Raw genomic sequence first — 22,443 nt, 5'->3', positions numbered from 1 at the left:
ATGTATTACTACATAGTTGAATGTAATTCATCAGGTAGTGTTATACAGTGGGCAGCATATTGACAGCACAAGCCAACTAAATCAAAAGTGAATAATGTAAGATGTGAAACATTATTTATTATAATTTATTATGAAATTATTATTAAATTTTTCTGAGACAAAGATTTATAGGGAAATTGATGATACGATAAAGAGACTTTCCTCCACTAGTGTCTTTGTCAAAATAAAGTGGCCATCAAAATGAAAATTAAATTATGAAAATTTAAATCAAATTTAAATTTCATCAAAATAAAAATTAAATTATTAAATTATGAACACAAGCCCTCTCTGGTTTTGAAAAATCTGCTTTGGTTTAAACCAGCCTTAGGTCTTCAGGCGCCGTTGCCTTTATTACTGGTGCCTATTTACTCTGCCAACACTTCCAAAGATGGGTTTTGGGACCCTTCTGTGCACCAGGTGTCCCAAGGGCCTAAAGTCTCAAGCATACCCATGAGACCATCCAAGGAACCACATTCACAAAATTTAGACCCAGTGAGAACACTGTGAGCAAAACGTCCAGGCTTACATTTTTATTACATTTATTAATTATTTTTCTATTGTGTCCAATCTTAACTGGAAGAAAAGGGTAGGTGCCAAAACAGGAAAAAACAGAGAGACTATTGAATTCAAGTTTGCTGAAATTCTAGGCAGTTCTTCCAGCTTTGCCATCTCTTGCGGATTTATAGTCTAAGGGGAAATTGACTATGAAGAAATCCTTTGATGATAAATAAGCTTAAAATTATCTCTAAAAGACTGATAATTTCTAGCATTGGTTTTAAATTCTGGGGAAAAGACGCAGTCTCACACACTTTGGGGAATGTAATTGGTGCTTATACGTTGTAGGGCTGTATATATCGGAATCTTAAATTCACAATAAATTTCACCTAGCAGTTCCACTATTTGGAATTTATCCTAGATAAATAGCTTAAATTTTAGGATCGACATTAATTCCATTTCTCCAGCAGTCTTGAAATAATTGAGCCACAGCGGTGGTAGATGGCAAACACAGGAAAGAACAATACCTCACAGTGAGGCCGAGACCCAGTGCCCTGATCTGGAATCAACCAGTCCCGGCGGTGAGAGCGCCAAACTTTAGCCACTAGACTACCAGGGAACCACAAAGCACATACTTTTTTTTTTTCCTCCTTCAATTGTTTCAGCAGAAATTACGCTGACATTGACCTCTAGAAAGCTCCATCTACCCTTCCTGGTGCCACCTGCCCATCCAAGGAATAGTCCCAAAAGACTGTCCTCTCCCTGCTTTCTCCAAGTTGCGAGCCCACACGCGACGTGCAGAGCTCTCTCCTTTCCTTCCAGCCAGTGGCGCTCCTCGAACACCTGCCAGGTTTACAAGTCCCGGAGCGAGTTGCAGCGTCCCGGCCGCACCTCACTACCGACCTAAAGATGCGCCTTTGCTAGGCGGCAGCGCGTGGAGAGACTGTCCCTGGTCGGCGGGGCCAGAGCGCACCAGGTTTCCGGGAGGAGGCTGGAGCGGGGAGGCGCCCGGGGTGAGACCGTGGCACCCTCAACATCATAAAGGACTCAGATTCCTGCATTCCCGACATCATAAACGACTCAGACGGATGCGGAAACCGAGACGGCCTGGATGGAAAACTCTTTCAAGGAAGACCCCAGGGCCCTGAACGGAATTCCGGATATTTTCTCTACAACGTAGTACACCTGCCTTTTCCCAGGTTAGTTAATGGCAACTCCACCCTCCACACGTTCAGGCCAAAAACTCGACGCAGGTCTTTCTCTCATGACCCACATCCGATTAGTTAGGAAATTATGTTCTTTTTTTGGTTGATTTTTTCATCTTTCTTCCCTCCCTCCATCCTTTCCTCCCTTCCTTCCTTCTTTCCTTCCTTCTTCCTTTTTTCCTAAGTAAGCTAACACAGGATTATGTTTCTTTTCTGGTTAATTGCAGACTTTGATCCACACAACTATTCTCTTTCTTGGTCTGAATTTTGGCAAACGACAAGCAAGGCATAGAGATCGCTTCAACTAGCTACCCGCGGCTGGCCCAGACGTTAGGGTTTTAGGCCGCCGTTAGACTTTGGCCCTGCAGGTCAAAATCAGCTACTCTAGGCCTGTCTTCTCGGAGGCCAGTAGCAGCACCTGGTCCTCTCCGCGCGGCTTCTCCCGCCGGGTACGCAACCCTGCACCCCTTTCCTGTGACCTGCAGCGAAGCTCGGCGGCAGACCGGGTATTCAACTGGCCAGGAGTTCTCGAGGCGCAGGTGCGGGTGTGCAGGGACGCGCGCGGTGAGTTTGCAGTTCCTGCCGGCTCCGGCAACATCCCGGGTCAGTCCGAACTCCGAAGGCGCCAAGGCAGGGAGGGACCAGTAGGTGAAGGGCAGCCGCCCTCTTGCGCCCTGTTTCAGTCCTCCAGTCGCTGTTGAATGGAGTTTCCGTCTCCAGTCTCAGCCAAAGCAGGCAAGGCGGACAACCTCGGCCTGGCAACCAGTGAGTATGCAGTCCCTTCTCCACCCCGTTGGGCACTTGAACTTGTGCCGTCGGATTGTTTCTCCCCAAGCTTTCTGTGAATTCCAAGAATGCAACTGATAACTATTTAAAAACTGCCCTTAACTTGAAGAAAGAATACTTTAAAGTCTTAGCAAAGGAAATGGGTGCATATGTCTACAAAAAGAATTGTACTAGAATATAGCAGCTTTGTTCACGAGAGCCAGAATTGGAAATAACCCAGTCATCCACACAGAAATAACAGTCATCAATAACACCAAAATAATATACTAAAAACATGGATGCATCTCAAAAACATTATGCTGCAGGAAATTAGAAGTCAGACACAAAAAAGTATATTCATTTATGTGAATTTCAGAAGCAGTCAACATTTGTCTGTGAAGATAGAAATCAGAATGGTTTGTCTAAGTGAAAGGAAGGTGGATGGGAATCTAAAGGAGGTTATTGACCTTTCTGGGCTGATGGAAATTTTCTATAACTTGATCTAGGCGATGGTTACGTTTCTATGCCCTTAAGATTTGTGCATGTTACTCTATGTGAATTATACTTCAATAATGTACTATTAGCGCTCCCATTCCCCCGCCAAATAATTAGGTGGGGGAGGTGGAGGATGGCATCAAGTTTAGGTTCTATTACATTTATTGGGTTTTATATGATCAGATTTTATTGTAAAATACCCTGTTGAATGAGAACTCGTACAAAGCTCATTGCCATTGCATCTAAAAAGGCCTTACTGACCTTTGAAATATCTCAGCCAGAAAAATGGTTATTACCACACCATTACGTCAGTTGAAGCTACAGACAAGGCTCCTGAAGAGACAGGGCTTTACCTTTTGAGATGGTTCCTGCACATGCTCAGACACACGGTCCCTTCTAACCTTCCCCAAAGATTCTGCCGTAGGTTAGTGCACTGTAGGGGTTTCCTTCTCTTGTCCTGACTGCGTCACAGGGAGACACAGTAAACTCTGCTCTCTGACCACAGCTACTGGGTGCAGTTGGTAAGGGGATTTAAAAAGTGAAACTGTAACACATACCAAATCTTGCCAAGAAGGAAGCCAGATGCTACTGTGGCTCCAATTCCAGCCAAGGTTGCTTCGGTCACAATGAAGAGCACTAACTGTTATATCATCATGGTGCACCATAAACCTGGGGTTGCCAGTGGGCTGCTTTTAATATTTTTGATGCAAAAATATCCACGATATTTTCCTGTTTTGTTCTTGGATAGCTACAAGTTCTTGTGTTTTTTCTCTTTCATGTCCTTTTTCTATTTCTTCTCATTCAAATACATGACAAAAATAATTCTCATCTCTCAGGATCCAGCCTTTGCCTCTGCACAAGTCTCCTGGGAGGTGTCATTGTCCCTGCTGTTTCCCTCTTCATGTCTCCTTTGGTCCCTGCCCCTTTCCTGATCTTGCCCACTGACCCCAAAAGACATAAGAAAAATGTTCAAAATCATTACTCGTTAGGGAAACACAAATTAAAACTTCAGTGATGAGCTACCTTTATGCATTGCTATGGTCTGAATGTTTGTGTGTCTGCGTCCCCTCACCAAATTTATTTGTTGAACTCCTAATCCCCAAGTTGGTGGTAATAGGAGGTTTAGGCCCTCGGAAGCTGATCAGATCATGAGGACTTAGATCTCAGTTCTGTTGAGAGCCAGGAGCTGCAGCCGCACAGATGGTGCACTCTAGGCCTCTTTGTGGCCTACCCCATGGGACATTGCACACTTGGAAATCAATTGACCAGAATAAAGCCTTTAAAAAAAGAACTTCCCCCTTTGAAAAATCCTTTCATTTATTTTCCAGTCTCAGAATCCTTCAAAGGGCTAAAAGCTTAAAGATGACAAAGTGTGAAAACGAAGGCCCATCAAATGAAAAAAGCAATGGTTATTTATTCTGACGCAAGGGCGTCAGCCACCGGCATCAGCCACCGGCACTTGCATTTTGACAGAGCTTAGAAGGCAGGTAGAGGAGTGGGACAGCTTTATAGCTGAGGAAAGGGAAGGCTTCAGGTGTGCCCTGATTGGAGACTGCTGGTGTGGGGAAGCTGCCTGTGGGCTAACTAGAAGGGGGACATCCAGTGTGCTTGGTTAGGGGTGCATATTTGGCTTTCCCTGGTTGGTCCTAAGTTGCAAGTGGGAACATAAATTAGGGAAAGTGTCAGTTACTAACCAAGCTCTTGCCATTTGGAGCCGATTGTTATGGATGTTATTGTTTGTTACTACAGATAACTGCCTGGCTCCCTGTGAGTCTGACTTATATAATAGCAGGCTGGCTTCCCCGGTTGTTTATTCGTAGATAAGGAAGTTGATTTCTTGGGCAGGTGGCCCCAGGTTGTGGATCAGAGTTATATTTTTACGTACAGTCCGGCCATTGTTCGATTGTATATTCTGTCTCTCAAATGTATTATTAATTCAACAAGTCCTAATTGAGCGCCCTGGGCGTTTCAGCTTCCCTGGGGCCCAAGTCGCTCTAACAGGAGTCGCGATCCCGGCATCTCCGGAAGCGCCGGCTTCTGAGGCAGGTGAGGGGGCAAGGCGGGGTGCGGGGTGTTTCGGAATCACTCAGTGCACAGGTTTCAAGCTTGACAAACAAGTAGATTCGTCGCTCTGACTGCTCCGGCTTTCCGAGGCTTTGGAGATTACCCAGTCATTTTGCAAAAGGCGGATAGTGCTAGCTAGCGTTTAGTGACAGCTTACCCTCTTTTAGAACGAAATTAGGAGCTCAGCCATGTCTCTGTGGCGCAATCGGCTAGCGCTTTTGGCTGTTAACTAAAAGGTTGGTGGTTTGAACCCACCCAGAGGCGTCGCTGATCTTTTATAACTCCCACGGTGGTCTGCTCCCTTGAAGACTACATGCCTCACTTCCCCTCCTGTCAACTAGTGGCTGCTTCTCATCCTCCAAGAAGGTCTCTGTTGGAAAGAAATGTAGTTGGAAGGTACAGAAGTTCCTTGGACCAGGGAACAAGAGAAATTTTGTGTGATCTGTTCACGGGTTCTGGGTGAAATCTTGCTTCTCTTTGTGCCTTTGGGCTATTGACAAGCTATTTGTACCTCAATATTTTTTCAACTGTAATATGAGGATGGTAATAATATCGCATTTGCAGGATGTGCCTAGATTTAATAATTGCTCGATCAATAATGTTATCAGTAGACTCAAGATTATTATTATCCTCTGCATTATTTTTGATGAAGGCATTTCTTCTTTTGTTTATTCCATCATCTAACCCTTTACATGTTGTTTTTTAAATTAAGTTTGTTCCATGAATTTACGATTACAAATAATGCTGCAGTCATCATTCTTGTACAAATATCTTTTGCTATTTGTACACGGATTTCTATAGGGTAGAGTTCTGGAAGCGCAACTGCTGTATCATAGTGGTTACAGTACACATTTTTTATTTTAATTAATAAGCCCTGTAAATTTGCCTTCCATAGAAGTGGTACCAATTTATATTCCAATTTGTTTTTTCAACTCAGAGAATCCTTTTCTTCATACTGTTGCTAGCACAATAAACTTTCTATACATCTGTCTGATAAATAGAGGGGCCGAGAGCTGTGGCTCACACCTGTAATCCCAGCACTTTGGAAGGCCGAGGTGGGCGGATCACCTGAGGTCAGGAGTTCGAGACCAGTCTGGCCAAAATAGCAAAGCCCCATCTCTACTAAAAACACAAAAATTACCACAGGTGGTGACCTGTGCCTGTAATCTTAGCTACTCGGGAGGCTGAAGCACAAGAATCACTTGAACCTGGGAAGCAGGGTTGCAGTGAGCCAAGATCACGCCACTGTACTCCAGCCTGGGCCACAGAGCGAGACTCCATCTCACACACACATACGTACAAAATAAAATAAAAAATAAAGGGAGTGTTGCCCTCCTGACTTAACTAAGGGGAGGTACAACAGATGACATGGCGCACATTGAGCAGTAGAGTATCTCCTCATCTCTTCAGCTAAACTTCCAAGATATTTTGTACAGCTACAATTTGTTTCTGTGGTGACCAGTCTGGAGAAGATATTCTGATATTTATTACTCCACTCTTTCCTCTATAAATGGCAAGGGTGAATTAGTATGCTATCTGTATTAGTCAAGGTTCTCCAGAGAAACAGAATCATCCATCTATCATCTATTTTTATTGATTTATTTTAAGGAATTAGCTCACATGATTGTGAAAGTTCAAGGCAGGCAGGCTGGAGACCCAGGGAAGAGTTGTTATTTGAGTCCTAAGATATTCTGTTGGTAGAATTTCCTCTTCTTCCAGGAAGGTCAATCTCATTCCATTCAGGCCTTCCACTGATTGGATGAGGTCCACCCACATGACATGGGGCAACCTGCTCTACTCAAAGTCTACTAATGCAAATGTTACTCTCATCCAAAATACCCTTTCTCAGAAACCTCCAGAATTATATTTGACCACATACCTGGGCACTGTGGTCTAGCCAAGTTAACACATAAAATTAACCATCACACTGTCTCTGTATTATTCCTTGACAGTTTTTCTTTTTTCTTGCTATGTCCACAAAGATTTGCCCACCTGAGACATATAATCTTAGCTAATAGAATCCTGCACCTTATGGGCATCCCATGCGGACCTGTAATCTCAGAGCTATCGGCATATGTTCCCTCAGTTCATCTGTTGAATCTCATGAGCAGAAATTGAGCTATTTGGCTTTTAGACACTAAATGTAATTCTTGGACAAGTATTTTTTCTCTCATTTGTACATTGTCAACTATTTTTTTCCATGATCCACATGGAATTCTGTTTTTGATTTTATGAAATGAACATCTGGAGATAGTGGTTAACAGGGATACATTATCTGTTAGGTGGTAGATGACAGCTTATCTAGTCTGTGAGTCTTTTTGGACTGGCTATTTGTTTGTCCTGAGGTTCTTAGTATTTCCTAGTATTTGAGTCTGCAGCGTTGAGAAGTGGTTCACATCTTATCTATCTAATACTAGATAAAATCTTACGGGTCCAACAAATGTCAATATCTGCAAAAGTGGAATATCTTTTGATCTACTATTGATTCACATTTGATCCACAAGGATGATCTCCATACACAATGATTTTCCCTTAGGAACTCTGACTTCAATATGTCGCTCTAGCTAAAGGGATCTTGGAACAGAAAGAAAACTGAATTTCTGGCATCCAATATTCTCCTTTCTTAGACTAAAGTTCCTAAACCCTATACCCATTAATTTCCCATTCTTCCCTCCCTAGCCCCTGGCACAACCGCCATTATTTCCTGTCTCTATGACTTTGACTACTCTAGGTACTTCATATAAGCAGAATTATATAGTATTTTTCCTTTTGTGACTGGTTTATTTCACTTTGCATAATATCCTCATGTTCATCTATGTTGTAGCATGTGTCAGAATTTCTTTTCTTTTTTAAGGCTGAATAATATTCCACTGCATGTATTTGCCACATTTTGTTTATTCATTTACCTGTTGTTGGACACTTGGGTTGTTTCCCTTCTTTAGTTATTGTAATACTGCTATTGATGCAGGTGCACAAATATCTCTTTGAATCCTTGCTTTCAGTTCTTTTGAGTATATATCCAGAAGTAAATTTGTTGGATCATGTGATAATTATTTTTAATATTTTGAGGAACCACCATATGGGTTTCCACAGTGGCTGTACCATTTTATTAGGTTGGTGCAAAAGTAATTGCGATTTTTGCCATTAAAAGTAATGACAAAAACCGCAGTTACTTTTGCACCAACCTAATAGATTCCAAACAACAGTGCACAGGGGTTTCAATTTTTCCACATCATCACCAACACTGATAATTTTCTTTCCTTCTTTTTAAAATAATAGCCATCTTGTAGGCCTTACTTTTAATTTCCATTTTGTCCTTGAAATCTTGGAGATTGAGCAAGAAGGAGGGAATGCACATCTTAGTGAGATCTTCTTAGTTACCACCAAGCCTAATGGCTCAGAGCGAGGGTCTGGATGAGTCCTGGCTCTCACTCTCATAGAGATGATGGGACCTTGGAAAGGTAAGCTCAGCCTTTCAGTGCAATGTTCTCATCTGCAACAAGGGGTTGTAATAATCAACACTATCGGCTGCGCGGGGTGGCTCAGCCTGGAATTCCAGCACTTTGGGAGGCCAAGGTAGGTGGATCACCTGAGATCGGGAGTTTGAGACCAGCCTGACTGACATGGTAAAACCACCCTGCCTCTACTAAAAATGCAATAATTAGCTGGGCATGGTTGTGGGGCCTGTGATCCAGCTGTTCAGGAGGCTGAGGCAGGAGAATCGCTTGAACCCGGGAGGCAGAGGTTGCAGTGAGCTGAGATCACACCACTGCACTCCAGCCTGGATGACAGAGAGAGACTCCATCTCAAACAACAACAACAACAACAACAACAACAACAACAACCAAACAAAAAAATCAACACTATCTTGTAGGGTCGTTATGTGGACTAAATAGGTTACTACACAGTAAAGCACTTAGAAACAATGCCAGTCACATAATAATGCTCTTGAAACAGTTATTATTATTATTACTATTATTATTGTCTTTGTTTTCATTTCTAACTGTACCAGTGAGAAATTTTAACATTCCCTACAATAAATTAGAAATATTCAATGGTTTTTTTGAACTCTTCTCCCCATATTAGTGGCCAGGTGTCTGAAAAACTGGTTACTTGAAGTGTCTACTCAAAGTACAGACGTAGAATCCTACAGCAGGATTCTATCCTCCAACAGGATCTCTGTTAGTGCACCAGAGGACTGGATCCAACCTGATCAAATTCTTGGACCTTGGACAGGCCTGATTGTTTAGGTCATGGTAGACAATCTTTGGCACATGATTCTAGCAAGAGCCTTTAATACCCATTCAGACTTACGCAAGTATTACAAGAAAAATGCAAGTATATACTACCAATGGCCTCTTCTCTTTTTTTTGTTTTCTTCAGAAATCAAGGTAGGAAAATTTGATTTACCTGGAATTTGTAGAAGATTTCCTCTTTCAGTTACGATGGAGTTTTGTGGCAAACCAGCACTCCCTTCGAAAAGAAGTAGATAAAATCTGGTTTAAAGGAATTCTGTTTGAAGTCTTTGAAAAGCTAGGACCCACAGGGCCAGCTACAGAAAGCGGGTGGAGAGAGAGAGGGAGAGAAAGAAGATCATTGGAATGAAACAATTTTTCCCCCTCAGGGTATTTGCTAGTTCTTGGCAAGGGACAAGAGGCTGAGAAGCTGGGGAGAGGGCAGTGGTTAAAAACCAGAGAAAACAGCAGCACTTTAAGTAACCTCATGGGGGTGGGGAGTGGGTAGACGTGTGGAGCTGTCCAGGTATTTTGACTTGAAAAGCCAAGATTCTAGAATGAATTGAGATGTGAACTGAACACTTGGTAAAGGTTTTCCCCTCAAGGCATTTGTGAATTGAGCTCTGTGCTGGTGAGAGGCTAGCAGAGAGTGGCTGAAAGCAGTTTTCATTGGGAAGGATGCAAAGGAGACAGAAATCAAAATTCACTACCCTCCAAAAAAATGGCGCCTCTCAAATTGGGAGTCCTAGAGGTCTGTAGCCTAGGAATGTGGGCAAACCAGATATAGACTGAGCCTTCCCATGAGTGCAAGCAAAGGTGGGTGGAATGGGAGTTTGGAAGGCTCAAATCGACCTCATATTAAATGAAACCCCTACACGTTGCTACTGCAAGGGAAAGGAAGCAAGTATCGCATTGGGATATATTATTTATTATGTATTAAAAAGTAATACAACATGAGGCTAAATTTATTAGTCAGACTTAAATGATTATTCTCCAGTTTTAGTCACTATACTCTTGAAAGAATGTAGGAAGTGAAAACCTGGAGAGTTCCTAAAAACGAAGAGTAAGAATCACTAGAAGTTAAAAAAAAATTCATTTAGGAAAAGCCACAAGAATTGTTTTTACTGAAATTGTCTTCAAGAAAATAAAAGCTGCTGAGAAAATGTTTTGATGTTTTCAAGGAGAGGTATACTTAGGTTATTTTGCTGTGCTTAGAAATTGGTTGACAACGTAAGCAAAAGGGTAAAAAAGCTGGCTATTGAGGGGGTGGCCTCCCCTGTTAGAGACCTCCAGGGTGAAATACGCAGCCTTGCATTGAGTGTAGCTATCAGAAGGCAGGGCTTCCTTGGGTTCTGTAGCTACTTCCACATTCTAATTCTGTGATTGTGACTCAAGAGCTGGCACCCTGAGTCTTCCCCATAGCACTATTGTTGATGTCCCAGTGACATGGGATTTGAGCTCTGGCATCTCAAAATGTGTTCCTGCCTTCATGACTCTCAAAACTTGTGGAAGCAAAATGCTTCCTGACCTCTGAAGGGACATTCCCTGGGAACTTCATAAGAACCTTATCTCAGCTATAAGAAACAAAAATACTCATCCCTTAGCTTAGTTTAAACCCCATTTGTTTTCATTCATTTATTGCCTGTTTTTTCTTCTAAACACCTGTGGGACCTCCCCTTCCTTCTCATAACAGCACCCACCCTGACCCCACCCCAGCACTTGCTGCATCTTTCTTTTACCCAGTGGATTGTTGGGTCCTCATGGCTGAGGAAGTTGTAGGCTTCACTCTACTTCCTGGTAGGCTCTGCTCTTGAGATTCTATCGTCCTACAGGATCTCCACTAATAATCTAACCTCTGTAAGCCATAATTTTGTTTCAATTGCTTTAGGTAGTTTTGGAGAAAAGCCTGGCCATTGTGAAGACATAGACATCTTTCTTCTCTGTCCTTCCTTTCAAAGACGGCTGTAAGAGAGCTCTTCATGAGAAAATGTCCCAGCAGAAGGCTGGGATGCATCAGCCCTCAGAGAAGAAGGGACCTGCTGAGAAGGGAGTGAATGAGCAGAAGCCTCGGGTTGAGGAAGAATTCTCTGTATCCTGCAGTGGGCAAGAGACTTCCCACTATCAGCATTAAGTCATTGCTCATCAGAGTAGCTTTCAGGGCCTGCAGCCAGCCTCCATACCTTAATTGTAGGGCTTTCTCTTAACACCTTCCTGGAAATTTCTTCAGAGAAAAATCTATAAAAGTTTTATTAGTAATGACTTTATATTATTCAGAGAAATTTGGTTTTATTCTAACTAACATTGCCTGTATTCACCAAATATATGGCCTTTGTGGTTACCTGAGCTGGAAATCTTCCAGTCATGTGAGTGGTCTCTCTTCTGGATCCCCAGGAGCATGTAGGAATCTCCTGTTTCTTCATACGTTACTCTGGTGAATGCTGAACTGTCCCAGTTCCCGAGGAGGTAGATTTATACAGAGGCCCCTCCATTCTACTCCATCCTCTATGGAAACTCAGGTCCCTGGCTTCTGGAATGGCAGTTTTGATAAGCTGAATTTTAAAAATAAGCTTGCAGAATTGTCAAATAGTGGCCTGTTGGCTAAATTTGTCAGTTTGTTTTTAATGGCCATTTTCCTATAGCTTTTTGGAAGCATTTAAATAATATGGGGTTAATCCATTACGCATTTGCCTGTGAGCACCAGTTACTGAAATACTAAGTTACTGAAATCACTACTTTGCCTAAGTGGTTGGTGTACAGCTTTGGAAGTGATTCAAATCCTGCTTCATGCTCCATTAGGTCACTGCCCAATATATTCCACTTAAGTTTCACTGACCCAGAGAATAATGTTAGTTAGGGCTAAAATAACGCTAGGCCAGGCACAGTGGCTCACGCCTGTAATCTCAGCACTTTGGGAGGCTGAGGTGGGCAGATCACTTGAGGTCAGGAATTGGAGACAGCCTGGCCAACATGGTGAAACCCCGTCTCTACTAAAAATACAAAAATTAGCTGGGCATGGTGGTGGGCACCTGTAATCCCAGCTACTTGGGAGGCTGAGGCAGGAGAATTGCTTGAACCCGGGAGGTGGAGATTGCAGTGAGCCGAGATAGCGCCGCTGCACTTCAGCCTGGATGACAGAGCAAGATTCCATCTCAGACAAAACAAAACAAAACAAAACAAAACAAAACAAAACAAAACACCCAAAAAACTCTAGAGTCAGTTAGTCTCATTACCTCATTTTAGAACTGAGAACACTTAGGCCCTAAGAGATAGTCATTTGATCAAAGTTGCATAATAGCCTCTGGCAGAGATAACATTAGAATCCTGTGCTCTCGATTCACAAAGGCTACACTACACCCACTTCATCAAATATATTTTTAAAAATTATACTTCTGTGATCATTCTTTTTTTTAATGGACTTTTTAAGAGCAGCTTTAAGTTCACAGCAAAATTGAGTGGAAAGTAACAGAGAGTTCCCATATGCCCCCTACCCCTGCAAGGACACAGCCTCCCTCACTATCAACATCTTGCCCCCGAGTGATAACATTTGGTACAACTGATGAACCCACATTGACTCATCATCACCCAAAGTCCACAGTTTACAGTGGGGTTCATTCTTGGTGGTGTATATTCTATAGGTTTTGACACAAGTATAAATGTATAATGGCATGTATCCACCATTGTAATAAAGAATGACTATTCCCTGCCCTAAAAATTCTCTGTGCTCTGCCTATTCATTCTCCTTTTCCTCCTAACACCTGGCAACCACTGATCTTTTTACTCTCTCCACTGTTTTACCTATTCCATAGTGTCATATAGTCAGAGTCATACAGTATGTAGCTTTTTTAGGTTGGCTTCTTTCACTTACACACTTAAGGTTCTTTCATGTCTTTTCATGGCTTCATAACTCATTTCTTTTTAGTACCAAATAATATTCCATTGACTGCATGTATCAAAATTTATCCATTCACCTACTGAAGGACATCTTGGTTGCTTCCAAGTTTTTGCAGTTATGAATAGAGCTGCTATAAACATCATGTGCAGGTTTTTGTGTAAACTTAAGTTTTCAGCTCGCTTGGGAAAATACTGAGGAGCAGATGGTTAGGTCATTTGGTAAGAGTATGTTTAGTTTCACAAGAAAATGCCAAACTGTCTTCCAAAGTGGCTGTACTATTTTGCATTCCCACCGGCAAGGAATGAGAATATCTGTTGTTCCACATCCTTACCAGCATTTGGTGTTATCAGTGTTCTGGATTTTGCCATTCTAATAGGTGTAGAGTGGTATCTTGTTGTTTTAATTTGCAATTCCCTAATGACATATGATGTTGAGCATCTTTTCATATTCTTATTTGCCATCATCTTTGGTGAGGTGTCTGTTCAGGGTTTTTTGCCCATTTTTTATTGTGTGGTTCATTTTCTTATTGTTGAGTTTAAGAGTTCTTTGTGTATTTGGCTTAATAGTCCTTTACCAGATATATCTTTTGCAAATATTTTCTCCCAGTGTGTTGTCTTCTCATTCTCTTGATGTGCCTTTTGCAGAGCAGAAGTTTTTAATTTTAATGAAGTCCAGATTATCAATTATTTCTTTTGTGGATCATGCCTTTTGTGTTATATCTGAAAAGTAATCATATAGCTGGGCTCGGTGGCTCACACCTGTAATCCCAGCACTTTGGAAGGCTGAGGCAAGAGGATCACTTGAGCCCAAGAGTTTGGCTGCAGTGAGCCATAATCACACCATGATCATGCCCAAGGAATGCTTCAGTGAGCCATGATCATGCCCTCCAACAAGTAAATAAAATAATTAATTTATTTAGAGACTCTGTCTCTAAATTAAAATTGGTATTGCATTGAATCTTTAGATCAATAAATAAAATAAATAAAAAGTCATCACCAAACCCAAGGTCATCTAGATTTTCAGCTGTTGTTATCTTTTAGGGTTTTTTTTTTATCATTTTATGTTTTACATTTAGGCCTATGATCCATTTTGAGTAAGTTTTCATGAAGAATGTGAAGTCTGTGTCTAGATTCACTTTCTTTGCATGTGGATGTCCCGCTGTTCCAGCACCATTTTTTGAAAATACTATCTTTTCTCCATTGTATTGCCCTTGTCCCTTTGTCAAAGATCAATCTGCTATATTTTGGAGTCTTGTGGAATCTCTATTCTGTTCCGCTGACTTATTTGTCTATTCTTTCACAAATCTTATACTGTCCTGATTACTGTAGCTTTACAGTAAGTCTTGAAGTCAGGTCATATCAGCCCTCTGTTCCTTTTCAATATTGTGTTGGCCATTCTGGGTCTTTTGCCTCTCTATGTACACCTTAGCATCTATTAGTTGATATTCACAAAATTTATTTGCTGAGATTTTGATTGGTATTGCATTGAATCTTTAGATCAAGTTGGGAAGAACTGACATCTTGACAATATTTAGTCTTCCTGTCCATGAACACAGAATATCTCTCTGTGTATTTAGTGCTTCTTTGACCTCTCTCAACAGAGTTTTGCAGTTTTCCTCATACAGATCTTGTACATGTTTTGTTAGATTTTACCTTGACATAATCACTTACTAGTTCCAGGAGATTTTTGTTGTCAATTCTTTCAGATTTTCTTTTCTTTTCTTTTTGTTTTTGAGATGGAGTCTCACTGTGTCGCCCAGGTTGGAGTGTAGTGGCTCAATCTCGGCTCACTGCAAGCTCCGCCTCCTGGGTTCAAGCCATTCTCCTGCCTCAGCCTCCTGAGTAGCCTGGCTACTATTTTGTTTTTTCAGTAGAGACGGGGTTTCGCCGTGTTAGCCAGGATGGTCTCGATCTCCTGACCTCATGATCCGCCCACCTCGACCTCCCTAAGTGCTGGAGTTACGGGCATGAGCCACCGCGCCCGGCCTTTTTTTTTTTTTTTTTTTGAGTCAGTGTCTCACTTTGTCACTCAGGGTGGAGTGCAGAGTGGCACGATGTCATCTCACTGCAACCTTTGCTTCCCGGATTCAAGCAATTCTCCTTCCTCAGCCTCCCAAGTAGCTGGATTACAAGCGCATGCCACCACGCCCGGCTAATTTTTGTATTTTTTGTAAAGACAGGGTTTCACCATGTTGGAGATTTTCTATAATACATAGATAACTGCATCATGTGTGAACAAAGACAGTTTTAGTTCATCTTTTCTAATCTGTATACCGTTTATTTCCTTTGCTTATCTTACTGCATTAGCTAGGATTTCCAGTATGATGGTGAAAAGAAGTGGTAAGCGGGGAAATTCTTGCCTTATTGTTGATGTTAGTGAGAAAGCTTCTAGTTTCTAGTATGACATTAGTGTAGAGTTTTTATAGATGTTCTTTATCAAGTTGAGGAAGGTCTCCTCTATTCCCACTTTGTTGAGAGATTTTATGATGAATGAGTGTTGAATTTTGTCAAATGCTTTTTCTTCATCTATTAATATGATCAAGTGATTTTTCTTCTTTAGCAAGTGGCAGGGAAAATGACAATCTTAGAAGGGATCTTTCACATAAAGATTGTTTTCATTTCCTTCATTCCTTTTACCATATTCAGGACACTAAACATATGCTAGAATTCAGTGTGTGGCCTCCTTTGGTGATACTCTCAAGTTCCTTCTCCTAAATTGCTATAACCTATCAGTTATTCCTATCTACCTTTACTTCTTTTTTTCTACTTTAGGAAGTATCATTCCTTGATTCAGGATCAGGCTCAAGAGTTAACCCACCTACGGCAGAAGATGAAGCTTGGGAGAGTGGCCTCTGCTCTTCTCATCCAGCATGTCAAGAACACACTAAAGACCTTTGAGGAGCTACTCCAGAGCAATAACTTTGACCACTATATGGAGCAGCACTACTGCGAGCAGCTGGCCAAAGGAAGCCAGCTGGCAGAGAGCCTTGCCAGAAAATTCAGCACAGGTAAGTTGGCCGCAGAGCTTAGGAAGATTTTCAGTCTCTCCCAAGGTCCTAAGTTCACAGGATGCCACCCCCATTCACATGTCACTTTTCAACCTGGTGTCCTGCTTTGTAATCACCACCTTAAGACCATGACAGAGTCAGGACTGGCTGGAGAGGAGCTCCAAGAAGAAGGGTTGAGGATGCCATGATGATCACCAGCACCTCCATCCCTCATGGAATATGACTGTTAGGGCAGGAGGCATCCCCAGGGATGATGGTATTCCTCTGAAACTAATTGGCAGAAAGACAGAAGGAACAGGGGCAGCTGGTTTTTGTGAAGGGCCCTGAACTGGGAATCCAAAAACCCTACCTCTAGCTTATATGTGTTCCTTACCAGCTCTGGACAGGTTAATATTTATTTTGATTTCTGTTTCTCTACCTAAAAAATTAAGTCAAATAATTCCAGCCCTTGAATGTTGCATGATTGTTCTAGGGATTAAATAAGTAACATTAATCGGCGCACTTCAAAAAAATGATAAAGAATCATGCTGACTTTGGCATGGTTCAGGCACTGTGTGTACTAGTACACGGTGGTGAGATAATTAGCTGTTTCAGGAGCATTTTACATGAAATTCCCCCTTGAGAACCCAAGGGCCCATAGTAGCAGAAGGCTTGAGTTCACTGTGCTGTCTCCTGATGGTAGGTGGGACACGGATGTCTATCATCTCCTTGGAGAAGGGAGGAAGTTCTGCATGAAAGCTATGGTGGAACACACAGCCATGGGTTTGGGTGCTGGCCTTGTGCCAGGACTTGGAGGCTTTGGCTGGAGTGGATATGTGTTCCATGATATGTGGGAATAAAGACATTTTTAGCTTTTTGCTGTGACTCAGGGCAAAGCAAGTGGAGATGATGACCTTCATGGTGGGCTCAGGAAAGCCTGCCAGACAAGCTCTCTAAAGACTCAACCCAAGATCTGAGAAAATTCAGAGTATCCTGGAATCAAGGCAAGCATCAGGTAGTCAAGTCTCTGGTCCCAGATAGACCTCCATGTTTGTTTGCAGTCTGGGAAATGAGACCTGCTTAAAGCATGACTGGCCTTTTTGAATTTTGTTCTCAGATGACTGTACAAGTAAGAAGAATCAAGTAGGACAGGTGTCTTCGACTCTCAGGTAACTCCAAATTTTCAGGGGCTGTCGAAGATGTAATCTGGTGAAGGATCCAGAAACAAGAGCCAGAAGCTCAAAGAAACAGGAGCATACATGGCCAGTAAAAAACAAATAGCTTATTTATCCATTAAACCATTATGTATCCTTAGTGATAAGGCAGTCTCATTTTTAAAATTTTTTAAAAAATATATTATTCTTTTATTTTCACCAATTAATTCACCAATTTAGTAACATAGAGCTGCTCTAACCTATCTGGGTCTTAGGAGTCTTCTGAACCTCCAGGGATCACCTCTGGTTTCCCTTATTTAAAGACCAGAGTAAGATTATATCTGATTTCTTCAAGGGTGACCCAAGGAGCGCTGGAAGATGTAAAACGGCTACAAATTTTTCTTGCAAACAAAAGTTTATACTGTGTCTCTATACTTAGGGAAGGAGATCTAGAAACTGCAAGACACCAGTGAGGCTACATTGCCTGGGGAATCTGTTTTAAATGGCCTATGGCAAATACTATTTTAAAAATTATGTTCACAGAATGAGTTGAATTCTTTTTTTTTTTTTTACATTTTTAAAATTTTATTTTTGAGATGAGGTCTTGCTCTGTTGCCCAGGCTGGAATGCAGTGGCATGATCACTGCTCACTGCATCCTTGACCTCCTGGGCTCAAGTGATCCTCCTCAGCCTCCTAAATAGTTGGGACTACAGGTGCACACCACCACACCCAGCTCATTTTTTATTTTTATTTTTTGTAGACAGAGGGTCTCACTATGTTTCTCAGTTTGGTCTTGAATTCCTGGACTCAAGCAATTCTCCTGCCTTGGTCTCCCAAATTGCTGGGATTACAGGCATGTACCGCCATGCCCATACCTGGAGTTGAACTCTTATGGGTCTCTGGGTGTTTTGTGAAGGAATCATGAGTGTTATTTAAGGGGCCCATTACGGCTTCGTTTTTCCTCAGGATGTTTGTAGCCAATGCACCGGACAACTGTTGCTCTCTCTGTCCCCGCCTTCCCTCCATACTCTATCCTGAAACAGAAATGATTTGTTTGGCTTCTCCTCTGAAGGAATGATCCTCTTGACCTCCCCTTTACATCTCCTGTGAGCCCTCAGATTAGTACAGCTGTGGCATTAGGTGACCTTTATTTTTTCTTCTTTCTTACCCCACTAGTATCTTGAGGAAGATGCATAATATGAGTAAAGTGACAGAAGTCCTAGAGACCAAGTGGGATGCCCGGTCCCAGACTCAGCCCCAGATCTGGTGCAGCAACCACACCCGGTCTACCCCACATCACTCCCTGAGCAGCACGTCTCCACAGCTTGACAAGGAGGAAGTGCATCCTTCAGTGACTGTAGTCAGTGAGTAGCCACATGGCTCCAGTTTTTGGGGGCTCATGCATTGTCTAGGCCAAGAGGTGGCATCTTTGCAGCCGGGCCCTGTAGATCCACCGTGATGTACCTGGTCGGGCACAGCTCCAGGACTCAGTGCTGAGCATAAGCCCCAAGGTTTTCAGGTAGCTTTTCTCCGTTCCCAGTCTCACATGCCATCAGTCACTAGATCTCCTCTGGCACATACATGGTGTTGGTCTTGGGGGGCATGGGTTGGGAAGGGGAGAAAGGGGGCAAATAGTTCCTCTTCACTGCACACAATTATGTCATCTTTCAAACTAGGGACATGAGTGTTGCTAACATTGTGCACCTAATCCTGGAATCCCTGGGGTAAACAGCAACAGTTCCTATTTTTTGTTCATCACTAAATCATCTTTATCATTTATGCATTTACAGATCCCATCCATCATCCTAATAAGTTTGCTGTAACACCCTCTAAACCATCAGTGAATGGGGCCATGCTGTGAGGTTCAAGCTGAGTCTATCACCAACCAGCGTGTCCCTCCTGAGAATTTCCCTGAGAGGGTCCTTGGGATAGCCTTGATAGAGACGGGAAGAGGAGATTAAGTTTTAAACCAGACTTTCATTTTTCTCCTGCTCAGTTTTCTCTTTAATTTTCCTCTTGAGAAAAGTGTTTGAAGTTTTAGGCCAGTATGAATCATATCCTAATGTGGACAATACCAAGAAATTATTTTTAGTCCCTGGCTGTATCTGGTGTTTTTTTCTAAATTGGCAATTTTAAGTAATGAGTGAGCCATAATGGTTTTTAGTTGTTGTTGTTGTTTTTGAGACAGAGTTTTGCTGTTGTCGCCCAGACTAGAGTGCAGTGGCACAATCTCAGCTTACTGCAACCTCTGCCTCCCGGGTTCAAGTGATTCTCCTACCTCAGCCTCCCAAGTAGCTGGGATTACAGGTGCTTGCCACCACGCCAGGCTAATTTTTATATTTTTAGTAGAGATGGGGTTTGACCGTGTTGGCCAGGCTGGTCTCAAACTCCTGACCTCAGGTGATCCAACTGCCTCAGCTTCCCAAAGTGCTGGGCTTACAGGCATGAGCCACCATGCCCGGCCCATAATGGGTTTTGATCTGGTACTATTCCTGTTTCTCATTTCACAATGAGGAGCAAAGCGGCAAAATGTTTCCTCTAAGATTATAGCAGCCAAGGAAAGACAGAAACTTCTCATTGATTGAGCACCTATTATGCTCACAATATTGACCACTATACATATATTTCCTCATTTAATTGACACAGTGATCCCCTCAAATAGGTAGTGGTGTTCTGCTTTTATAGTGGAGGACACTGAGGCTCAGCAAAGTTAAGGAACTTACTGAAGACAAAGCAGCTTGGGGTAACATACACTTTGAGTCTACCTGACTGAAAGCTCAGGTTGTGAGCATTTCACTCTGCAGCCTGAGAAGTCAGGGGCTGCACACAAAGGGTGCTCACTCCTTCTCAGCACCTCTTTTGCTAGGCTTCTGGAGCCAGGGTTTTTCTCATTCCACTTTTTCTGCTCTGTGCACCCAGCAGAGTTCTGGCCTCTGAAGATGGGACAAGACCTTACACATATTACACTTCTATCTAAGAATTTGTAAATAGATGAGCTTCCCTTGATATGTACATCACCTATTCCAAGGGGCCAATGGGACTTTTATGTGCATCCTTGATTCAGTTGCCCAGAGGCACTTGTTTCAACCTCAGCACTGCCCCAAGAGATGGCAGAAGGGCAAGCCCATGCTTCCCTTACCTGCAATCCCTGCCACTGCCTGCAGTGAGGTGTGGCCTCTGGAATGATGCTTCTGGAGAGCACCAGCTTTACTTTTTGCCACAACTGTCTTTCCTGAGGGAGATCGAAGCCCTTCTCTTTCCCACTTGAAGTCACTGTCCTTTCACAGGGGCAACGGTTTATCACCACTTCCTCTTTGGTTTTTGAACCAAAATTTCTAGAACAGTCAACCTGTAGTGCACTGGCATGACAGCTACATTGTGAGGCCAAATTTCCTTCACAAAAGTCTAGTCTCTGTTGCTTTCCATCTGCAGTGTAGGGCATGTTCCCCGTGTGGTATGGCCAGGGAATGTTAAAACACTGATCACTGTTACTGATAAAACTTAGAGCTTCCTATGGCCATGGTTGAGAGTAAACTGATTTTCTGAGATAAAGGAGGTTTGAAAGGGGGTGGTAATCACATTTTGATTGAGTTCCTACTTTAAGTCAGGCATTTATTAAAGACTTAACATAGTTGTCATTACTCTTTATCTCACAGTGATTCTAATTAGTATCTGATATTTTATAAATTGGAGAAGGAGAGACCTACTGGTTACTGATTTAAATATACAGTTCCTAAAAGAACGTGATGTTGTTGAGGGCAAACAGAAACCTCACTCCCACCTGCTCAGAGGAGAAACTTGTCTATTCTTTAGCCCTTGATAATAATCCTTGAAAGGGAAAGACTCTAAAACTTTTCTCTGAATTATGGCCCTGCCACCCCAGCTGGGTTTTTCTCTCAAAGGGAGACAGTAATGAAGGGCCCAGAGGATCTGGCCATGTTCTCATGGCATCATTGAGCTGTAAGATGCCATGTATTTTGTGATTCTACAATCCTCTATGCAAGAGTACACTAGCTATTCTGTGGACAGGAGCCAGACAATGTGAGCTGTACATAAGAATTATTTTTGCAGTGTCAAAAGCCATTCTAGGTGGAATCCAAATCACCACTTGCCTTAGACAGACACCCCCTCAGCTTCACTGCAGGTCCAGAGTCAGCCGAGGCCAGAGAGAGAACCACCAGGAGTGGAAGCAACACTCTCTAGGTTCTCTGCACATTGTCCAGAAGTGGAGGCCATTTTCTCCTCCTCCTCCAACAGCCTCAGTGTAGAACAATCCCAGGAAGGAGTAGCTGGTGTGTTTCTGGCAAGGGCATAGAATGTTGAATAAATAGTCACCTGTTTACAGACCAACAAAATGCTTCACCCCTCACTGTCTGAACTCCTAGGATTGGCTGTGAGTCCTGCTATTAGGAGAAACATTTCTGAAGTACCTCCCCAGGATCATTCCAGCATTGGGAATCATAAAGGGAGCTAGGAGAGGGGCCCCATATTTTTCCTGTATGTGCGCTGTGATGCTCAGATATTACAACTAACACTACTGCTTATGTCATAGGCTGAGAAATGCCAGTTACTTTAGGGTGAAATGGGGAGTCCTTGGGAAATGAGTCTGCTGACATCTGCCTTAGTCTTCATTCCGTGGATTGCTTTATTAGCTTTCGAGGGCTTCCAAAACAAAAAAACACAAACTGGGCGTCTTAAAACAGAAATGTATTCTCTCACAGTTCTGGAGATGAAGACGCCTAAAATCAGGGAGTCAGCAGGGCCATGCTCCCTCTGAAGACTCCAGGGAAGGATCCTTCCTTGCCTCTTCCTAGTTTCTGGTGGTTTCTGGGTTGTAGACACATCACCCCAATCTCTGCCTCTCTTGTTACATGGTCTCCTTCTCTGTATGTCTCTTTATCTCTGTGTCTCCTCTCCTCTCATAAGGACATCAGTCATGTTGGATTTAAGACATACCCCCAATTCAGTATCATCTCGTCTTAACTTATTATATCTACAAAAAACCCATTTACAAATAAGATCACATTCTGAAGTTCCAAGTGAACTGAATGAATTTTTGGAGGACACTATTCAACTCACTATAATTACCTTTAAAACACTCATTTATGACTT

General features: G+C 42.5%; 1 non-coding gene and 1 pseudogene across 2 annotated transcripts in view; both read left to right on the top strand.

The window, feature by feature from the left end:
* Positions 1-1,591: 1,591 nt before the first annotated feature.
* Positions 1,592-22,443, top strand: part of PDE4DIPP4 (PDE4DIP pseudogene 4) — a 66,476-nt pseudogene continuing 45,624 nt past the window's right edge. The window contains exons 1-2 of the transcript NR_135813.1: positions 1,592-1,733; positions 15,962-16,197. The product of NR_135813.1 is annotated as a PDE4DIP pseudogene 4 (transcript). The remainder of the gene's footprint in view (positions 1,734-15,961; positions 16,198-22,443) is intronic.
* On the top strand, positions 5,254-5,327 carry TRN-GTT27-1 (tRNA-Asn (anticodon GTT) 27-1). Its single transcript has one exon. It is a non-coding gene; the product is annotated as a tRNA-Asn (tRNA).

The sequence above is a fragment of the Homo sapiens genome, chromosome 1 (genome assembly GCF_000001405.40).
Source record: "Homo sapiens chromosome 1, GRCh38.p14 Primary Assembly".
NCBI classification, from domain to species: domain Eukaryota; kingdom Metazoa; phylum Chordata; class Mammalia; order Primates; family Hominidae; genus Homo; species Homo sapiens.
This window is presented reverse-complemented; position numbering and strand designations above follow the sequence as displayed.